Source organism: Homo sapiens, chromosome 8 (assembly GCF_000001405.40).
Source record: "Homo sapiens chromosome 8, GRCh38.p14 Primary Assembly".
Taxonomy (NCBI): Eukaryota; Metazoa; Chordata; class Mammalia; order Primates; family Hominidae; genus Homo; species Homo sapiens.
Window position 1 is genome coordinate 32,390,726 of NC_000008.11, and position 23,326 is coordinate 32,414,051.

General features: G+C 38.9%; 1 protein-coding gene across 10 annotated transcripts in view, besides 1 other annotated feature; it reads left to right on the forward strand.

The window, feature by feature from the left end:
- The window catches only part of NRG1 (neuregulin 1), a 1,134,802-nt gene that overhangs the window by 751,481 nt on the left and 359,995 nt on the right, over positions 1 to 23,326 (forward strand). The window lies entirely within an intron of this gene.
- Positions 17,457 to 18,039: an enhancer, noted in NCBI's record as "NANOG hESC enhancer chr8:32265698-32266280 (GRCh37/hg19 assembly coordinates)". NCBI's record gives its function as "activates a minimal SCP1, AML or CMV promoter by ChIP-STARR-seq in naive H9 embryonic stem cells {active_cell/tissue: H9 hESC(naive)}" and the evidence as "EXISTENCE:reporter gene assay evidence [ECO:0000049][PMID:30033119]".

Here is a 23,326-nt window from a genome sequence, read left to right on the forward strand (position 1 = left end):
ATACTCTGGTAATTGGCTGTTTATCTGTCCAATGCCTTCCCTAGACCAGAAGCTCCTAAAGGACAGAGCCTGTATTCCCATTCGTAGTACCAGCGTTCAGCACAGTAGCTGGACCTGACTAAGCACCAAGTAAATATTTGTTGAATTAAGAAAATTAAAAAAAAAGTGAGAAGTCAACAGTCTCTTAATCAATTGTAAAGAAACACTTTACTAGGATGTTCTGACAGCTACTCCAAAGTATCAAATATTTTAAGTGAAATTGTGATGTCTGGTGACATTTTTTCAATATTTTAGATTTCTTACACACAACTTATTTTATTTTCATCCACTGAAGCTCTCAAGCATCTTGTTAAAATAAAATAAATTAGCTTGGTTTCTGTATGTGTGTGTGTGTCCTTTTTTGGGGGGAGGGGGGCTGGTGGCAGGACAGGGTCTCACTTTGTTGCCCAGGCTGGAGTGCAGTGGCAGGATCATGGCTCACTGCAGCCTCTACCTCCTGGGCTCAAGTAATCCTCCCACCTCAGCCTCCCTAATAGCTGGGATTACAGGCATGCACCACCATGCTCAGGTAGGGTTTTTTAAATTTTTCATAGAGACAGGTTCTTGTCATGTTGCCCAGTCTGGAATATATATATTTTTTTGACTTTTATTTTAGGTTCAGTGATACAAGTGCTGGTTTGTTATATAGATAAACTCATGTCACGGGGATCTGTTGTGCAGATTGTTTTGTCACTCAGGTACTAAGCCCAGTACCCAATACTTACTTTTTCTTTTCCTCTCTCCACCCTGACCCTCCACGCCCAGATAGACACCAGGGTCTGCTGTTCTTGTCCTTGTGTCCATGTGTTCTCATCATGTAGCTCCCACTTAAAAGTGAGAATATGTGGTATTTGGTTTTCCATTCCTGTGCTAGTTCACTGAGAATGATGGCCTCTAACTCCATCCATGTTCCTAGAAAGGACATGATCTCGTTCTTTTTTATGGCTGCATAGTATTCCATGCTGTATATGTACCATATTTTCTTTATCCAGTCCACCACTGATGGGCATTTAGGTTGATTCCTATATATTTTTTAATTGACAAAAATAATAACCCACAGAATCACTAAGTAGGGGAAAGATCAGCTGCTGATATTTTGGATGTACTTTTCTCGAGTCCAAAGGATAATTCAGTCAACTTAAAATAGTTATTTAAAAATGTGAACAGAATTTGTGGATGTTGAGACAGATTCACAGATCCTTAGGAAATATTAAAACTTTTGAAAAATGGCCACAGGCTCTGAAGGAAAAGAGCAGTTGGGCACTTAATGCCACAAGTTACTCTTATAAATCATTATGCTAATGATAGAACTGAGGTGGTTCATTTGGGAAAAAAATTGAAATAACATTTAGGAAAAGCTGAGAGGCTGGCGATCACCATTATGAAGAGAGCAGCCTGCACTATGATTAGATGCCACCAATAAGGGGACCATATATAACTGAAGGATGACTTTAGGAGTCATTGTAAACCTGTCTTCTGACAGCAGCTTGAGACAGGAATTGCATTCTTCCTCTAAATCCTTTTAATTTAGTAAAGCCCTTTATTGAAACATTTACAAGCAAATGTAAACTTTTAAGGATTCTTACATCCCATAAAAGCAGTAATTTTGGCATATAGCTCATCAACATGAAATGAGTAAAAACATGGGAAGGCAGTACTTTTTGAATGTTGTATGCCATTTGGCAAATCTACATGTTCCTCCCTTTTTTCGCATCTCCATGTTCCTCCTAAATGAAGGAGTTGTTGTTGATGTTGGTTTACTTTAATATGTCCAATTATACCATTATCATCTATTTATCAAAATAGTGCCATTTAATTGCCTTTTGCTTTAAGCTGTATTTTATATGAAAGATTCCTAGTGTTATTTCTGTCCTTTGGAATATTATCCAGCAGAGGGAATTTTAGGATCTACTTGATAATACAGATTTGCTAATTTCCACGTTAGTACTTCAGTGTTGTTTAGTTACACAGTTTCGGGCCTCATGATGTGTTTGATGATTTGGGAGTGATAAAATGAGTCTTAAGTAAAAATCTTTTAATTAAAACAAACAAAGGATCAGTTTTTATGGGAAACCAGTCAGTCAGCAAGTACATGTGTTTTAAGTCCAGAAGGATGCTCAAGTGGAGGGGTAGAGAGAGAGAGCCCTTGGGATCCAGGGATTGTAGAGTAACTGCTCCCATTATGCCAGGCCTAGCAGGGCTGTCCCACTGTCTCTGCCCTCACACTGACCACTTCATTACTGGTTGTTTTTACTGAGCATCTTTTCAGAGATTTCTGAGAACATGGTAATTTTCCCAGACCATACACCTGAGAGATCAGGTACTATGTTGCCTTTAAAAACAACAACAACAACAACAAAAACCTTTATATTTTTCCTCTTTTTATGGTGAAATATGGCATACTTTATTATTTGGAGAAAGACAGAAAACATGGTTTTTTTCTCCCACAGGCCACAAAATACCATCTTCCTCTTACAGGGAATGAGACTTTTGTATAAAGAGGCACAATTTCCTGTCCCACTAGGAGAAAATTATTCTCTTGTCTGAGTCTCAACAGAAGCTTGTGTTAGTTGCTGTTATAAATTAAACTACTACTCAACCCAGCAGTCCCATTACTGGGTATATATCCAAAGGAATATAACTGTTCTACCATAAAAACACACGCATGCTTATGTTCATTGCAGCACTGTTCACAATCTAAAAGACATGAAATCAACCTAAATGCCCATCAACAGTAAACAGGATAAAGAAAATGTGGTACATATATACCATGGAATACTATGCAGCCATAAAAAGAACAAATTTATGTCCTTTACAGGAACATGGATGGAGCTGGAGGCCATTATCCTTAGCAAACTAATGCAGGAACAGAAAACCAAATACTGCATGTTCTCACTTACAAATGGGAGCTAAATGACGAGAATACATGGACACATAGAGGCAAACAAGAGACACTGGGGCCTATTGAGGGTGGAGGGTGGGAGGAGGGAGAGGATCAGAAAAAATAACTGTTGGGTACTAGGCTTAGTACCTGGATGATGAAGTGGTCTGTACAACAAACCCCCATGGCACAAGTTTACCTATATAACAAACCTGCACATGTACCCATGAACCTAAAATAAAAGTTTAAATAAATAAATAAACTTGGTCTCCAGTGTTAAATATGATATGTCATCATCCTCATTTCCTTCATCCAGCTATTTTATATTCCTCCCATCTGCTCTGTCCTAATATTTATATTCTGTAGGCCTTATCGTGCATCTCTTATTCCTTCTAAATATGTTTTACTCTGCCTGGTTCCTCCACTCTTTTGGCTCTTGTTTTCCTACTTCCTTTAATGTAACAGTAACACAGTGAGCACTTAATAGCAGTCTAGAATAAACTCTGTGTTCCTGCTTTAATCTATATCTGGTCTTTATCTCTCACCTTTATCTTTACCTCTGTCACTGTGTGGACTTACACTGAAAACAGAACTATACCATGCCCCCATCTCCATGCTGAGTAGCTGGTTTATAAATCAGGAGAGACAATGCTCTTTAGATATTCTTAAATTTGTTATAATTCTTTCCTGTTATCCAGCTCCTCAACCTCCCTTCCCAGCTCTGTCTACCACTTTGTATCACTTAAGCCACGTTTTATCTACGTCTTCTCTGTCACTAACCTTTAGTCCCTTGAAACAGGCACAACCAAACAGGACTGACATTTTGCAAGTCCCTTGAGATTTTGCCTAATCCTTCACAGCAACCTACAAAGTCAATCTGGGGCTGGTGGAAATTCTCCTCTTTCAGCCTTTTCCTTCTTTTGGAATTTGGGGGTGTTTTCACAGAGTGATTTACCAAGAAAACATTCTAAATCCTCAAGGATCACTTATCCCTTACCTCGTGGTTGTTTGCTCGAGACCAAGCACAACTGGACATTTTTGAACTTACGTCTTTCTCCCTACCCTCTTTGTTCTCCTTCTCCCCCTTCATAAAATCTGACTTCAGTTTGGCCTTCAAGTGAGATTGACTTTTAGCCCCTTCCATTTGGCAAATCCTTCAACAAAAAAACAGAAGTGTCATTTTTACGGGGTGACAAAGCATTAAGAAGATCGCTTTTTCAGCCTTGCTGTGCTTCATTATAGGTAAGTCCTCATGTGGCACCTTTTACAAGAGGAAGTATTGTCATGCTAACAAAATGGTTTCAGATAGTATGAAATCAGTGGTGAGAAGAATGGCTATAAGGAATGGGCTCTACAATTACTGTCACTCTCAGCAAAAGAGAACGCAAGGAATGCATATTTCATCTCATGGCGACCTGAGGATCGTCCTCAATTCCATATGTAATACTTTCTAAATAATGGTGACCTTTTTCACGTCCCCTTCCTGTATATACAAAGTACTATGTGGATAATGCAGCCTGAGTGAGCTTATGAGCTAATGCAGGGATTTTTATTATTAACAATAATCATAGTGAACAACAGTTTATTCATGTAAGATCAAGCAACTAGTAAGTGGTAGAACCAGGACTGGGTCATAGGGTAGGTACATGTGTACCACTTTTAAATATTGCCAAACTACTTTGCAAAGTATTGAATTATTTTACATTCCCAACAGCAGTGTCTGGGAATTACAATAATCCTTATCATGCAATGACTGGCGTATTCATTCTTTTTAATTTTTGACATTCTAATCTGTGTGTAGTGCCATCTCATTGTAGTTTGAATTTGCATTTCGCTAGTGACTAATGATATTGAGCATCTTTTCATGAGCTTATTTGCATATGTATGTCTTCTTTGCTAAAGTGTCTATGCAAATCTTTTGCCCATTTATTAGGTTGTTTGTTTTCTTATATTGAGTTATAACTTTTTTTTTTTTTACATATTCTGCAAACATTTTTAACCAGATATGTAGTTTACAAGTGTGTTTTCCCAGTCTGTTTCTTACCTTTACATTCCCTTACCAGTATCTTTTGCAGGAAAGATGTTAAATCTGTTGAAGTGTAGTTTATCAAGTTTTTTCTTTGGATTGTGCTTTTGGTCTTGTAGCTAAGAAAACTTTGCCCAAACAAGATAACAAGGATTTTCTCCTATTTTTTTCTAGGCATGTTATGGTTTTAGGTTTTACCTTTATGTCTATGATCCATTTTACATTAATTTTTATATATGGTGCAAGTTATGGATCAAAGTTTAGTTACATGTGGATATCCAAGCATCCTAAGCATCTTTTGCCCAAAAGATAATCTTTTTTATACTGAGTTACCTTTGCTGCTTTGTTAAAAATAAATTGACTATGTGTAAGTCTATTTCTGGTATCTCTATTCTGTTCTATTGATCTATATATACTTATCCTTAAACCAGTAACACGCTGTCATCATGACTTTAGCTTTATAATAAATCTTGAAGTCTGGTAAATTAAGTCCCCCAATGTTTTTCTTTTTAGACATTTTTTTTGGCTACTGCAGGTTCTGTGTATTTTCAGAGGACTTTTAAAATCAACCTGTCAATTTCTAATACCAAAATAAAGTTCTTTAGAATTTTGATTGGGATTCTCACGAATGTGAAGATCAACTTGGAGAAAGCTAACAACTTAATATTGAGTCTTATCTCTCAACTTATTTTGGTTCTTTAAAACTTCTTTCAACAATTGTTTTTCACATAGAGATCTTGTATATATTTTGTCAGAGTTCGCCCAAATGGTACATTTATTTATCTATTTATTTAGAGATGGAGTTTTGTTCTTGTTGCCCAGGCTGGAATGCAATAGCACAATCTCAGCTCACTGCAACCTCCACCTCCCAGGCTGAAGCGATTCTCCTGCCTCAGCCTCCCAAGTAGCTGGGATTACAGGTGCCAGCCACCACACCCGGTTCATTTTGTATTTTTAATAGCAATGGGGTTTCACTATGTTGGTTAGGCTAGTGTTGAACTCCTGACCTCAGGTGGTCCACCTCCCTCGGCCTCCCAAAGTACTGGGATTACAGGCATGAGCCACTGTGCCTGGCCCAAATAGTACATATTTTTGATGCTATTATTAATGACATTGTTTTATTAATTTATATTTCAAGTTGTTTATTTCTATTACAGAGCTTTCTCTACTATGCTGACATCCATCTGAGGTCTCTTCTCAACAGAATTGCCTTTAATGTCCACATTTCTACCAAGCTTCTCTTCAAGGAAATCTATATTTTTTCTATTACTCACCTTAAAATTCTTGTAGCCTCTATCCATTTCCCAATTCCGAAGCCATTTCTACATCTTTAGGTGTTTGTTAGAGGAGTACCCCACTTTCTCGCATCAAAGTCTGTATCAGTCAGTGTTTGACAGAGAACAGAACCAATAGGAGATGGATAAATAGGTAGGTAGGCAGATTAGTAGGTAGATAGATAGATAGGTAGATAGATACATAGATAGATAATCTATAGATATCTAATGCCTGGAAAGCTAATTTTTCTATATATTTTCTCTATTATTTTAGTTGTTTCAGATAGAAGGACAAATTGGATCCCTGTTACTCTATCTTGACCAGAGTGAAAATCTGATTAACTTTTAATCCTCAGTCTCCTCATTTGTAAAATGAAAATAATAATAAAATCTATTTCATGAGGTTATTGGGATGTTAGTTTTGTTAATATGTATAAAAACTTGGTGCCTTGTACATAATAAATACTCAATAAATGTATTTAAATTTTGAACAACATATTTGACATATTGTGATTTCCAAGTATCTATACTCTTTTATGTTTGTTAATGTTATATATGGAGGCAATCTGACTTAACATCAAAAAAAAAAAAAAGACCATTCATAAGATGTAGTCAGTACCAGTAAATGAGAGCACATTTTCCTCTAATTGGGTGTGTGGATATTGGTTTTCACCCTACTTGGAGTTTCTGACTATTTGTCCTAGTGACCATCACTATATTCATTTATAATATTATTAAAATCAATGGATGAGTCATTGGTTACCATGTGTATTCCGGTTCTGAAACACACCCTCCTCTTCCCCAGCCAGCACTCACCTCAGTGATACCCAGTCTATTGCAGGTTTTTTATGCATTTTCTAAATTACATGAAAGCAAGTTGACATTCTTTCTTTGTCTTAGTCTTCCATACCATTATTTTGGCATGTTTAAAGTATCATCCATCTGATTATGTTTGGAAATAAAAGCATGAATTTGTTAAAGACATGTACCTTCCAAACTGCACACTTATTGTGTTTTCACTTTCTTATCATTGTCCCTTCATTAGAGAAAAAAATCTATTCTGTGAAGTATTTGGTTTTTTATGCAGTCTGCTCTGCTCTAATATACACAAACACCTGATTCTGCAATGAGAATTAGTTGGTATGTGATTGTTGAGCAGGGAAATAGTACTATTTCACAGAATTTCCTTTAGTTTATATATGGATTTTTCTTGGCTGAAGAAGCCAGATTACTGGAGTAAAATTATAATCTCCAGCAAAAATAAAAAAAGAAAAGTCCACAGCTCAGCCCCTCCTCTAAAGAGTTGTACAGCGCAGCCTTCCACGGCTCATAGCTTACAGCAGGTCTCCCTTCCCTGCCACCACCCTCACAGCAACCCCACTGGCTGAGCACTCTGTTTTTATTTATTGTCTGAGCACTCATCAGTGCAGCTCTGTTTAACATGTTACCTGTATTTCCACCCAAATTTTTTTTTTTTTTTTTTAAGACCAGGTCTCACTCTGTTACCCAGGCTGGAGTGCAATGGTGCAATCTTGGCTCACTGCAACCCCTGCCTCCCAGGTTCGAGCGATTTTCCTGCCTCAGCCTCCCGAGTAGCTGGGATTACAAGTGCCCGCCATTATGCCCATCTGATCTTTGTATTTTTGGTAGAGACAGGGTTTTGCCATGTTGGTCAGGCTGGTCTTGAACCCCTGACCTCAGATGGTCCACCCACCTCAGCCTTCCAAAGTGCTGGGATTAATTACAGGTGTGAGACACTGCACCCAGCCTCTAATATTTTTTAGAACATCCATTGTGGTAGCCTCCTGCCATGCTGAACAGTTGGCCTGGGTGGTGCAAGTTATCTCCCAATTATTGGGAGGTATCAATTATCATTTTTGTTTGGACTTTACAAAGTTTTATAGGTTCTAAGTGATATATCCCTTCTGCAGTTTTTCTCATAAGTTCTGTTTATACAGTATGTGATTTTGCAGAATATGAGTTTTTTGAGATTATATATATTGCAATATCATAGAAACCTTTTTGTTTGATAATCTTTGCTTAAAATAACCTCATTTATTTTGTACGAATGTACAAAAATAAAACAATGTAGTACTTATTGGCTGTTTTTGTGGACTGAGGTAGAGATGTCAAGAAGTTCAAGCCAAAAAAACTGAAAATAGTTAACAGAAACAGGCAAATCTCATATATCTTGCCCTGATTATTTTTTCATTAGAGTCCCTCCTATTGAGGAAGGTTCATTAGCATGTGATGAAACACATTGAGGGGGATTAATTAGGAAATATAAAAGAGTCTCAAACTTCTGATATAAGGTAAAACACGTTAATTTTATGTGTCTTTAAAAATGTAATTAGAACCTTCTGTTTGTCTTTTCTGAGACACGTATTTAAAATTTCCCTCGACTCAACTGATAATCTGTGATTTTGATTTTCATCCCAAAGTGACTTTTAAAAAAGTTTTGGGGTTAGGGGGATGTGGTGGCTCACGCCTGTAATCCTAGGACTTTGGGAGGCCAAGGCGGGGCAGAGGGCGGCAGATCACCTGAGGTCAGGAGTTCGAGGCCAGCGTGGCCAATATTACAAAACCCCTTCTCTACTAAAAATACAAAAACTAGCCAGGTGTGGTGGCAAGTGCCTGTAATCCCAGCTACTTGGGAGGCTGAGGTAGGAGAATCACTTGAACCCCAGGGCAAAGGTATTAGTCAGCAGAGATTGCTCCACTGCACTCCAGCCTGTGCAACAGAGAGAGACTTTGTCTCAAAAGAAAAGTTTTGGGTGAAAAGTAGAAAAAAAGTCATAACTTTGTGTAGAGACTTTTCCCTCCTGTAATTCTTTTTATTATCAAATATCAGGTATTATAGGGTATAAGCCAGTGTTCTTTTTTATGATTTCCAGAAGTGTTAAATTTTCCATGTCTTCTGCATTTGAAAGTAATAGGTTTGGAAAGAGAAAAGCTGTTCATTCTTCAAGTACATGTAAGTTTAAGTACCTTGCAGACTTTGTTTTGCAGGAAGCTTCCTTGCCTTCTCCCCATATCACCTCTCTGCACCTCTTCACACCCATGAGGGTCTTTATAGCAGTGCAGTCCATAAATTGTTTTGAGGTACCAATACCAGTTTCTTGGATATTTTCTTACTTAGGAACATAAATACTTAGGCTGCCATTGCGTTAATAAGGAAATGCTGGATAGTCAGAATCCTACATTAACCCGAGCCTAAAATCTGTAGTATCGCTTCAAATATCTATGTAGAAAGCATAGTTTATTAAACTAAACATCTCCTGTAATCCCAGCACTTTGGGAGGCCAATGTGGGTGAATCACTTGAGGTCAGGAGTTTGAGACCAGCCTGGCCAACGTGGCAAACTCTGTCTCTACCAAAAATACAAAAATTAGCCAGGTGTGGTGGTGCAACCCTATAGTCTGAGCTACTTGGGAGGCTGATCACTTAATTTAAAACTTAAAAGACCTAATATCCAGAATCTATAAGGCACTTAAACAGATTCACAAGCAACAAACAAACCCATTACAAACTGGGCAAACGACACGAACAGACACTTTTCAAGAGAAGATATACACATGGCCAATAAGCATATGGAAAATTACCCAATATCACTGATCATCAGAGAGATGCAAATCAAATCCACAATGAGATACCATTTCACGCCAGTCAGAATGGTTATTATTAAAAGGTCAAAAAATAACAGATGCTGACAGAGTAAAGGGAACGCTCATACACTGCTGGTGGGACTGTAAATCAGTTCAGCCGTTCTGGAAAGCAGCATGGCGATTCCTCAAAGAACTTAAAATAGAATTATCATCCAATCCAGCAATCCCATTACTGGGTATGTACACAAAGGAATACAAATTGTTCTATCATGAAGACACCTGTACACATATGTTCATCATAGATAGCACTGTCCGCAATAGCAAAGATATGGAATCAGCCTAAATGCCCATCAACAGTAGATTGAATAAAGAAAATGTGGTACATATACACCATGGAATACTATGCAGCCATAAAAATGAATGGGATCATGTCCTTTGCAGGAACATGGATGGAGCTGGAGGCCATTATCCTAAGCGGACTAACACAGGAACAGAAGAGTAAATACTGCATATTCTCACTCATAAGTGGGAACTAAACAATGAGAACCTATGGATACATGGAGGGGAACGACAGACACTGGGGCCTACTTGAGGGTGGAGGGTGGGAGGAGGGAGAAGATCAGAAAATATACCTATAGGGTACTATGCTTATTACCTGGGCGATGAAATAACCTGTACACCAAAGCCCCATGACACGCAGCTTACCAATATAACAAACCAGCACATGTACCCCTGAACCTAAAATACAAGTTAAAAAATAAATACATAAAAATTTAAAAATAAAAAATAAAACTGCAAACGTGCCCTGCTTTCTGGCAGTACCCCATTCCCTGTTCCTTAGTTTTCTCTCTGGCACTTATCATTTATCTATTTTATTCATTGTCTGTCTCCCTTCACTAGAGGTTCATGAGGGCAAGGATTTTCATGTTCTGTCCACTGCTATGTCCCTAACACTTAAAAAAAGGCTTTGCATTCTATAGTCATTCGATGAAATAGGCTGAATTTAGCTAAAAGGGAGTTCATGTCCTTTGAAGAAACATGGATGGAGCTGGAGGCCATTATCCTTAGCAAATGAACACAGGAACAGAAAACAAAATACCACATGCCCTCACTTATCAGTGGGAGCTAAACAAAGAAAACACATGGACACAAAGAGAAGAACAACAGACACTGGGGTCTGCTGAGGGCAGAAGGTGGGAGGAGGGAGAAGATCAGAAAAACTACCTATCAGGTACTATGCTTCATACCTGGGTTACAAAATAATCTGTACGTCAAATGCCTGTGACACAAGGGTACCTGTATAACAAACCTGCATATGTACCCCTGAACCTAAAATAAAAGTTGTTTGTTTGGTTTTTTTGTTTGTTTGTTTGTTTTGAGACAGAGTCTTGTTCTTGTTGCCCAGGCTGGAGTGCAGTGGCGCGATCTTGGTTCACTGCAACCTCTGCCTCCTTGGTTCAAGCAATTCTCCCTGCCTCAGTCACCCGAGTACCTGGGACAACAGGCGCCTACCACAACGCCAGGCTAATTTTTGTATTTTTTAGTACAGATGGGGTTTTGCCATGTTGGCCAGGCTTGTCTCAAACTCCTAACCTGAGGTGATCTGCCCACCTCGGCCTCCCGAAGTGCTGGGATTACAGTTGTGAGCCACCACGCCTGGCCTAAAAGTTTTTTTAAAAAGAGAAAACACTTTCCTTACCCTTTGTAGCTCATTGTCTATCTAACACACCCTGTCACTCTCATCAGCCTTGAACTTCTTACAAAGCCATTCAATAAAATGAAAGGAAATAGGTGCAGTGGGCCCCCTCTGATTCGTGGCTTTGATTTCTTTGGTTTCATTTATCCACAGTCTAAAAATATTAAATGGAAAATTTAAAAAAAAAACAATTCATAAGTGTTAAATTGCATGCCATTCTGAGTAGCGTGATGAAATCTTGCCCTGTCCCACTCTGTCCCATGCGGGACATGAATTCTTCCCCTTTGTCCAGCAGTTCCTCACTGTCTATGCCTCCGACCTGTTAGTCACTCAGTAGCCCTCTCAGTTATTAGATCGACCATGGCAGTATGGGGGTGCTTGTGTTGAAGTCACCCTTATTTTACTTCCTAATGGCCTCAAAGCACAGGAGTAGCAATGCTGGAGATTTGGAGCTGCCAAAGAGAAGCCCTAAAGTGCTTCCTTTGAGTGAAAACTCTTAATAAGGAAAGAAAAACATTGAATGCTGAAGTTGTTAGATCTTCTATCTGTTGAACTGTGAAGAAGAAAAAAGATATTTGTGCATAGTATATAAAGGGTTTCGTACTACCCACGGTTTCAGGCATCCACTGGGTGTCATGGAATGTATCCCCTGAGGATAAGGGGGGATTACTCTATGTATTTTCGTATCCTTACATCACTTACATTATTTTTCCTCAGCCTTGTTGAGGAAAATAAAAACACAGAAGCCAAGAAAGAAATGAGCAAGCACTGGCCGGGCACAGTGGCTCACACCTGTAATCCCAGCACTTTGGGAGGCCAAGACGGGTGGATCACCCAAGGTCAGGAGTTCAAGACCAGCCTGGGCAAGATGGTGAAACGCCGTCTCTACTAAAAATATAAAAATTAGCCAGGCACAGTGGCAGGTGCCTGTAATCGCAGCTACTTGGGAAGCTGAGGCAGAGAATTGCTTGAACCTGGAAGGCAGAAAAGTTGCAGTGAGCCGAGATCATGCCACTGCACTCCAGCCTGGGCGACAGAGCGACACTCTGTCTCAAAAAAAAAAAAAAAAAAAAGAAAGAAAAAAGAAATGAGCAAGCACTGAACACCTACTGTGTGCAAGGCACTTGATAGCCTTCCTGTTATTTCTTCCTCACTACAATCCCATGAAGTAGTTCTTATCCCCATTTTACAAGATACAAAAATTGACTCTCAAAAAGCTTAAGAAATTTGCTTCTAGTTGCACAGTCTTATAGATTTTCACTTTTATAAGATAAAAGAGCTTATTCAAATCCAAGTCTGTTTGAACCTGACAAGGAAAGCCTTCTCTAAATAGAGTATCTGAATCCCTCCCTGCTCGAAAGTCTCCTTTATACGCTCATGTTTCAAAAATTTCACATTTTTTGAGATATAGATAGTACCCACCCACATCACCTCTGTTTTTATGGAAAATTTACACTTAAGTGGCAATTATTTTAATCAGATCGACATCCTAGAGAGTGAGAGTTCATTGAGGAAAGAAGGAAGGTACATTTTTGGATCATAATGAGGAGAGATCTTGATATTTTTGAAATTTGTTTTGTCTTCCCATGGTACAAAGTTTTAAAAGTACAAAAATATGAACAGTAAATTCTCCCTTCTCTCCCATCCCTGTCTCTAGCCACCCACTCCTCTTCTGAGGCAAGAGCAGATTCTGTTGCCACCTTCCCAAGCAGGTAGTGCCTTTAAAAAACAAAAAACAAATGTTCACCTACTATATGCATTACCATGCACCTTACACTTTTCATTTAATAAATATACCCCAGCAATGGTGATAGCAGATTTTGGACCAGCAGTGGGGATAAAGAAGGTCCTGGTCACCTAGGTGCCTAAAGAGAAGCAGATGAAGAGAGAAGACCCTGGAGAAATGTTTTCCTGTTTTGCACCTGCAGGTGCTTGACATGCCTCTGAAAATGATCTCAGTGCTGTGCAGTTCCACAGCTGCAGTGGTACCCACAATGCCAAAACTTGGGATGCAAAGGGGCGGGGGTAATGACAAAAATCAGGGAAGGAGGAACCATAGCAACCACCTGATCTGCACACTCATGTATTTTATATACCTCTCTTCAATGCCTAGTGTCCTTAGACAGTAAGCTCCCTGAAGACACAGGCTATGCCTACTTTATTCATCATCGTGTCTTCAGTGCCTAGCACCCTGCTTGGTATGCATTCGGTTCATGAATATATGAGGGAACCTGCTGCTGCTGTTCAGCATTCACACCTCCATTTCAACCCCATCAGAACCTTTTTCATGCTTCCTCTTTTGTAGTGTCTCAGAAACTCATTCTGTTTTCTTCTTCATCTTTTTTTTTTTTTTTTTTTAATGGAGTCTTGCTCTGTGGCCTAGGCTGGGGTGCAGTGGCATGATCTCAGCTCAGTGCAACCTCCACCTCCTGAGTTCAAGCAATTCTCCTGCCTCAGCCTCCCTAGTAACTGGGGCTACAGGCTTGCACCACCACACCCAGCTAATTTTTATACTTTTAGTAGAGACAGGGTTTCACCATGGTGGCCAGGCTTGTCTTGAACTCCTAATGTCAAGTGATCCACCTGCCTTGGCCTTCCAAAGTGCTGGGATTACAGATGTGAGCCACTGTGCCCAGCCTTCATCTTCATCTTAAAACTTCTTCCATGTTCGCTGTGGCTGGGGACATGATATTCCTCTTTCCCTCCCAGTTGCTCCTAAGGATGAGCAAAAAGCTCTTTTCACGTCAGGGGTTGTACCGCCAATCACTAAAAGGAACAGTTGAAATATCAAACATGGAGAAATTGCAGTGATTACAAAGGAATGCAATGGGGCACCATACAGATCTGAATTTGCCAGTTTGCCATATCCAGGCTGTCCCTGTTGCCTCTGGTCCACCTTAAGCTAGGTGCAAACCCAGTTGGAGGAAAGAAAGGAAGTTATGTGTTCTCTCTTCAAGGAAGAAACCAGATACCAGCCTCAAACTCTTGTTCTTAGGTCACTTCTTTCCTTGGTCCATTTCACTCCTCACTCTCCATTCAATTAAAGGACTTGCAGATTAGGTTATTTGCAAGTATTTCTGTAATTTATTCTCCTACTCCCATTTGAAGCCACCAAGCCTGTTTAATATTAAATAAGCAAATGCTTCAAGTACTATGGTGACTTCTTCTGTGCCTTTGCAACTAAAGCCTTCCAACAGCAGAGGGGAGAAATTTATATCTGTTATATACATAGATGAGTAATTTGGGAATATAAAACAAATATCCTTCTTAGAAATATTTAAACACAGATGCTTGATTTTGTCTGATCTTTCTCTCTCTTTTTTTTCTCTCCAAACAACTGGTTACCCACACTTGTACAGTCATGTAGAGACAAAATGCTCATTTATAATTCCAGATACCCCATGTAATTATTGCCTATGATAATCAGGTAATCTTTATGAAACTATTCCTATACAATTTTCAAATCTCAGTTTACAATCATGAGTATTTTACCATAATCTTCATAATGCCCTCTTGAATATATTTGCTTAATATCATTTTGAATTTAGTGATATTTAAGTTAACATATTTTATATGTTTTCATTTCATTAGTAGGCTTTTAAAAATTTACTTTTTTGTGAGAATCTGATTTTTGTGAGACTCTGTGAACAAATATCCTCACTAATTCTTTCTAATGGTATAATGTGAATTTGTCATTGACAAGTGTTACAAAAAAGACGCATAGAAAATAAAATATTTTAGGTAATCCTAAGATAGCTCTTCCGCAGCCAGGGCAATTGGGCTATGTGTCTTTGGGTTGATTGTTAGCTCTGTCCTAAATCTCTGAATTTGGAGAAGGAAACCCTGGATTTGAATTCCAGTTCCTCAACTTACTGGCTCCATGTTCATTCCTTCTTTGTCAAGCCCCCTAACTTCCCTAAACTTCAGTGCCCTCATCTTAAATATAATGACATAATAGTGTCTCTCATAAGATTGGTAGAATTACATGGGATAATTCATCTTGCATGGTCAGGGGCACGGTCTCGGGAACCAGACTGTGTGGGTTTGAGCTGCTCAGTCTTGGACAAAAGATTAAATATATCTATGCCTTTGTTTTATCATCTATAAAATGGGAATAACCATAGTACCTTATTCAAAGGTTGTTGTGAAGATTAAAATAAATTAATCCTGTAAAAATGCTTAGGTTTCTGGCACATAGTAAGGGCTTAGTAAAAACTAGGTATTTTTACCTGGTATGTGCAAGCACTGTATATATCCTGATATACTTTCTCATCTATAATTCTGTTTCTGTGCACTAGTTTATATATTTATTTAATGGAATTATTTTTACAGATTTAGTCAGATTTTAGAACACAAAGCAAGTGGATACTTAGTAGCCATAGGGGAATCTGATTTTGATGTCTCCTACCCAAAGTTTATTCATATTTAATATTATATATACATAAGTCTTATTCTTTCTCTTCGTCCTTTTTTTTTAAAGGCAAGATCTGCCTTCATCTTCGGTTTTCTTTAGTGCTTAGAAGATTGCCTTGCTAGTGATAAGTATTTTTGCTTAATAAGTATATCTTGACTGTGAAATTTGTCACCAGTTTTGAAAGGAACTCTGGCAGCAAATGAACAAACTTAAATCCTTGTGGCCAGGGATCAAAGGCAATCTCAAACCGAATTCTATAATAAAGAGAAGTTTGGAGAGAGAAAGGGAGTTTAGTGTAAACTCAACTTTTGAAATCCAAAGGTATCAGGCTATCATGGGAAGAGTGTGGGATTCAGCTTTAGCCCTGGGGTCACAAAGTCATGGGTATGCTCTTATATAAGTAACTTAATCAGATCTCTGTTTCCTCATCTGTAATATTAATTCCCTTCTCCTATTTCATAGAAATGCTTAAAATTTTTAACAGAGGTAATATATGGGAAAATGCTTTGTAAGCTATAAAATTAGTGTACAAATATTAGGGTCACTGATACTCTGTGACGCAATTCAATGATTTGGTAGAAGACTATATATATATGTGTGTGTGTATATATATATTATATATATATATATATATTATATATATATATATATATATATATTATATATATATATGGCCAACCATATATCTATTAGTAGCTCTCTCTATATATGTTTTAAAGCCAGGCTGGTCTTAATCTTGTCTATTGAATTCATTTTGACAAGAACAGTGTAGGATCCATTAGTCCTTTACAATGAAGAACATATTAGGTGAGTCAATACTTAATTCCAAAATTTTACTTTAGAATAAGAGGGATGTCTAACATCAATTGATTGAAGGCTGGAGGAAAGAGCGTGGAGAGAAAGAAGTAACACACTGCTCTGTGTTTTTGTGCCTCTGTCTCCAGAATAAAAGTGGACATGCCCTTCTTCCTCCTTACCTCTCTCTCTCTGTATCCCTTTCAGTACATATGTCCAACACTGCCATACACAGCCTCGCTGAAAGTATCAGGCAAAGGGAGAAACAGTGAGCATTCCTACCTCCAGCCTTGACAACAACTATGAAGTGTGTTGCTCTAAGCTCTGATCATAAGGGAATTAGAAGCACTATGATTTTTTAAAATCAAAATATGCCTGTAGCTCCAAAAAAGAAGAATTTGACTATAGGGTCTCAGCTCACTGCTAGGAGAGGTGTAACTGATTAAACTCTGGTGCAGAATGTATCAGGATGGAAGGAATCTGAGAAGTCACCAAGTTCAAATCCTTACTTTCAGTCCACAGAGTCATCCTGCTGCATTTCCTTTTTATGCCTGCAAACAAAATGTTTCTGGAACTCATTTATTGTCAGTGAGTGCTCCCTGGGCTCTGAAGCCCAGAGATGTTCCTCCATAACTCATCAGAGGCTTGGGTCATTTCTGAGACAATAAGTTACTGCTAGGTCACTGAACATACTTGGGGTAGGCAGTGGGGAAGGGGATTCTGTGATAAGAAGGTGATCATGTGTTCTCTATTTATAGGAAAATGAATCATTCTCAGGGTGATGAGCATGTGTCATTAAACTGTTTTCCTGATCATGACCTTGCACCAAGCTGTTTGCCCTCTTTGCCCTGTTCCCTCAGGCTCAGTGGTCAGGGAGGGTGGGCCAGCTGGCCGAGATGTGCAGTCCAGTCCAGAGTTCAAGAACAGTTTGAACTGTGAGACTGAGAGCCAAGCTGACTAGGTCAGAGTGAGAAGCCATTCCTCAGCATATGGGAGCTGTTAGTTAGTGCCCTGAAGCTCTCTAGTTATTTGGGGAAGGAATGGGAGAAAGCACTTAGATCCCTGCTGGGCTCATTACCTTTAATTAGCTTGCTTGGTCTGGTGGCTACTGCAGAGGGGGAAATCTCCAAAAACTGCAAAAAGATTGTGCATGATGGTGGGGGAAGATACTTTAAGAAGGGAAGAAGACTCTGTTGAGCTTCCACAAAGAACAGGTTGTTCATACCTGAATGCACACAGGGAATGCACAAATTTTATAAACAAGAAGGCTGGGTTTGTTTTTTTTAAGTTTTTCTGTTTTTAAATTTCTGTTTATTTAGCGGGTACAAGTGCAGTTTTGTTACATGGATATAACTCTGGTCTTTCAGTGTAACCATCACTCAAATAGTGTACCTTGTACCTATTACGTAACTTGTCATTCCTCACCCTCCTCCCACCCTCCCATCTTTCTGAGTCTCCAATGTCTATTATTCCACCCTCTATGTCCATGTGTACTCATTATTTAGTTCTTACTTATAAGTAAGAACATGCAATATTTGACTTTCTGTTTCTGAGTTATTTCACTTAAGATAATAGCCTTCAGGTCCATCCATGTTGCTGCAAAAGACATGAATTGATTCTTTTGTATGGCTGAGTAGTATTCCATGGTGTATATACGTTACATTTTCTTGATTCAATCATCCATTGATTGAATGGTGTCCTTTGACTTATCAAATAAATGGTGCTAGGAAAATTGGCTAGCCATATGCAGAACAATGAAACTCGTTCCCCTATCTCTCACCATATGCAAAAATTCACTCAAGATGAATTAAAGATTTAAATGTAATACCTGACACTATAAAAATCCTACAAGAAAATTTAGAAAAAACTCTTCTGGGCATTGCCTAGGGAAGGAATTCATTACTAAGACCCCAAAAGCAAGCAAATGCAACAAAAGCAAAAATAGGCAAATGGGACTTCATTAAACTAAAAGGCTTTGGCACAGCAAAAGATATAATCAACAAAGTTAACACTCAACATACAGGATGGGTGAAAATACTTGCAAAGTACACATCCAATGAAGGGCTGATATCTAGATATCTAGAACCTATGAAGCTGTTTTTAAGAACAGAATGAGGACATGAGCCAACACCCAGGATTCCAGTGGAAAGTGAACAGAGCAGGCACAGTTAATGGAAAATGAACAGAGCAGGTACAGTTAATGGAAAGTGAACAGAGCAGGTACAGTTAACGTCATACTTTACCTTTTTCCATTTGCACTTCACGAAGAGATGAGCTTTGATAGTTAACTTCTCTCTCTTTTTCTCTCTGTTTTCTTCTTGTGCAAACTGGGTGATGACATTGACTCTCTTCACAGGAAAGCACTAAGTGAGGATTAACTAGGTAATGAGAGCAAATTGGAAGGGTGATGGAGATGCTCCGCAACCTTGCTGATGGATTTCTCCCAGCGAGAGAATCTCTTCAATGCATCTTTCATCTGTGTCTTACAGGCAGGGTGTACCATCGTTATCTCTGCATTCTGCTTAAGCCATCCCCTCCAAACCCTGCCTCTAAGGAGCTTTGGCCTATTCCTTGAAAGGATTCTTCAGTTATCCCACCAACAATCAGAGGCAGCAGGACTCAATATCCCCCTGTATGGAGAAAAACTGAGACAGGAGATTGGGCTAAGTTGTCAGTGATTCACCCCCATTCCTGCCCTAAGGAAAGGATCTTTTTCTTTCCTTTTTTTTTTTTTTTTTTTTTTGAGACATGGTCTCCTTCTGTCACCTAGACTGGAGTGCAGTGGCATCATCATATCTCACTGCAGCCTCTACCTCCCAGGCTCAGGCAGTCCTCCCACCTTGGCCTCCTGAGTAGCTGGGACTACAGGTACATGCCACCATGCCCAGCTAATTTTTGCATTTTTTGTAGAGACAGGGTCTCAGCATGTTCCCCAGGCTGGGCTCAAGCGATCTACCCTGCTCAGCCTCCCAAAGTGATGGGATTACAGGTGTGAGTCACCATGGCAGGCCAAAAGCATCTTCTCAAAAATCTTTCTTCCAAAATGTATATTATACAAACTTTCTGGAGAACAATTTAGGAAAATAAGTATTCAAAATTCTTAGAAAGGTGCATGATTCTTGCCCACTGAATTCCACTTTCAGCACATGACCATTAGTCTTTCATTTCTTCTTCTCTTCTTCACACCAGAGTGTATTGCCTTCAACAAAGAAACTAACCACTTTTAGACTTGTAATTAACCTGTCCCTTCCCCTCATCTGCCCACCTGACTACTGAAAGTCCCCAGAGTCTGCTTCTTAGTGGGACACCAGCCTTCTGCAAGGCACTTATTCTCTGGTTATGAACCTGTTTAAGGAAATCTATATATTTGCACAGAACCATGGAAATATAGATGTGAACAGGCTTAAGTGATCACAACCCACATTTTTTTTTTTTTTTTGAGATGGAGCCTTGCTCTGTTGCCAGGCTGGAGTGCAGTGGCGCAATCTCGGTTCACTGCAACCTCCACCTCCTGGGTTCAAGCGATTCTCCTGCCTCAGCCTCCCAAGCAGCTAGGACTACAGGCACGCACCACCATGCCCAGCTAATTTTTGTGTTTGTAGTAGAGACAGGGTTTCACCAAGTTGACCAGGATGGTCTCGATCTGGTGACCTCTTGATCTGCCCACCTCAGCCCCCCAAAGTGCTGAGATTACTGGCATGAGCCACCACGCCCAGCCAGCCCACACTTTTTATCAGATGAGGAACTAGAGACTCTGAGAAGACAGGTGGCTTATCCAAGAGTTCATACTTATTCAAGGCTACAGAATAAACCAGAATCTGGGGCCTGTAACTCCCATATGGGCCCTTCTCGAGTTATGGAGACTTAACGGTGTGGGACACAAAATAGGAAGAAGTAGAGTAAAACTTTATAAAGTAGGAAAAGAAATAATGTTTGTACTATGTATAATGGCACTTCAAAATCCACCATTAGGAGTGTCTACAGTTTCCTCTGCATAATTTAGAGGCTGAGGCCATGTACCTCAATTCAGTCCAGTTTTCTATCCAAGAGGTGCAAGCTCTAAAATAAAGGAAAGGAATATTCTTTATCAGTCATCAGCTTAATCTCAAAATATTGTGTGCTCCATAATTGACCTTCATTAGGGCATTATGGACAGGGGCTTACTATATGCTAAGCTATGTAAATACAGATGCTCCTCAGCTTATAATGGGGTTGTCTGGATAAATCCATTGTAAGTTGATCCACACATAACCCTATTAAAAGTCAAAGAGCATACTGAATGTGTATTGCATTTGCACCATTCTAAAATCAATGTGTCCCTTGTGTAAAATCAGTTGCATCCGAAAAGCCTGAAACGTGTACATATTCTTTGATCTAGCCATCTTATTCTAAAAATCAAAATAAAATCAAAATAAAATCAAAATATAGGTAAGTTGAACTGTCATAAGTTGGGGACCATGCGTACTCTGATAGTCAGTGTTATGTATGAACTTGACCAAGCCGCAGGGTCCCAGACATTTGTCCAGCCATTAATCAGGTGTGTCTGTGGGAATGTTTCTGGATGAGATGAACATTTGAACTGGTAGATTGAGAAAAGCAGATTCGTCTCCCCTATGTCAGTGGACCTCATCCAATCAAGACCGGAATAGAACAAAAAGGCTGAGTAAGAGGGAACTACTCCTGTCTGACTGCTTTGAGCTGGGACATCAATCTTCTGGCCTTCAAGCTCAAATGCAAATATCAGCTCTTCTTGAGTCTTGAGGCTACTGGTTTTCAGACTAGAATTTATACCATTGGCTCTCCTGGTTCTCAGGCCTTCAGATTTAGACTGAAACTACACTATCAGCATTCCTGAGTCTCCAAATTGCTGACTGCAGATCTTATGACTTTCCAGTCATTCCATTCCTTGTCATAACTCTCTTTCTCTTTCTTTCTCTCTCTCTCCTCTCTCTCTCTCTCTCTCTCTACATATATATATATATATATATATATATATACATATATATATATATATATATATGAACAGATACATCCTATTGGTTCTGTTTCTCTGGAGAACCCTGACTAATATACAGTTATGTGTCACTTAACAATAGGATATATTCCAAAAATGTGTCATTAGGCAATTTCATGATTTGTGAATATCATAGAATATTCTTACACAAACCTGGATGGTTTGCTGCACACCTAACCTGATGCACACTGAGGCTTTATGGGATAGCTTGTTGCTCCCAGACTAGAAACCTGTACAGCATATTACTGTACTGAATACTGGAGGCAATTTCTAACACAATGACAAGTATTTGTGTCTCTAAACATAGAAAAACACAGTAAAAATATGGTATTATAATCTTATGGGACCAGTTGTATATGTGGTGTGTCAGTAACCAAAATGTCATTATGCAGCATATGACTGTATATATACATTTACACTTAATCCTCACAAAAACCCTCTGAAATAGGTACTATTGTTTTGATTATCAACCTAACTTTAAAACTGGGAAATTATACATAGACTGGTTAAGTTCCTCGCCCAAAGCTACACACTGCATCTGGAAGGAGTCTGAATTCACCCAGATACCGCGTGCTCCATCTGTTTGATTCACATTCTCCTAATTGTGTCCCAAAAGCCTGAAACATGTGCATATTCTTTGATCTAGCCATCTTATCCTAAGAATTTACCCTAAGTAATAATCATGGATGTATTCAAATATATCGCAAAACATTTATAACAGTAAAAATATCTAAACAACTTAAATGCTAAACAATAATAGGCGATTGGTTAAATGTTCTATGATGTAGTTACTCAGTGAAATACTACCTTCATTACAAACCATGCCCTCAAGGACTATTTATTTACTTGGGTAATCATTCAAGCTATATAGATGAGAGTAAAAGGCCTGTTACAAGCCTGAGGAGAGATGGTAACTAAATATACTGTATGCTCGATGAGACCCTGAAATTACATTTTACCATGTTTCCTTAGGCTTGTAGCATTCCATTTTTACTTCTATTCTGAAGCAGAAAAAGGAGATTAGATAAAAACTAAGAAAACCTTAATAAAGGCCGGGCGCAGTGGCTCACGCCTGTAATCTCAGCGCTGGGATTACACACATCCCTGTTTTTAAAAGTGAAATCTGCCTTCTATAGAACACATTCCCCCACAGAAATATACTACAGAAAACAGACCTAATAAAGTGGAGTTTTGTTCAAATGCTTCCCTCACAATGATGCTTTAATTTGCTGAGGAACATATGATTGATCCTAGTTCACCTGCTGAACATGCATAGGCAGTGTGCATCTCTAGCACACTGATTAAAATGAATACCCAGAGGCTCAACATGATTTCTTATTAATCAGAACATACACAACTTTGTGAAAGGGACCTTAGAGCCATTCTCTGCCCCAGGGTGAACTGGGACACAGGTATAGAAACCTCCAGGACTCTGTTGGAAGAGTTTTTCTTCTAGGTTTTTTTTTTTTTTCTGTTATAACTGTCCTTTCCAAGATTAAATGATGCCTAGGATATCACATCGTTCAGAAGAGGTTGAAAGAGGGAGTTATTTATAAATCCTGAAGGTTCTAGGAGGTTTGGG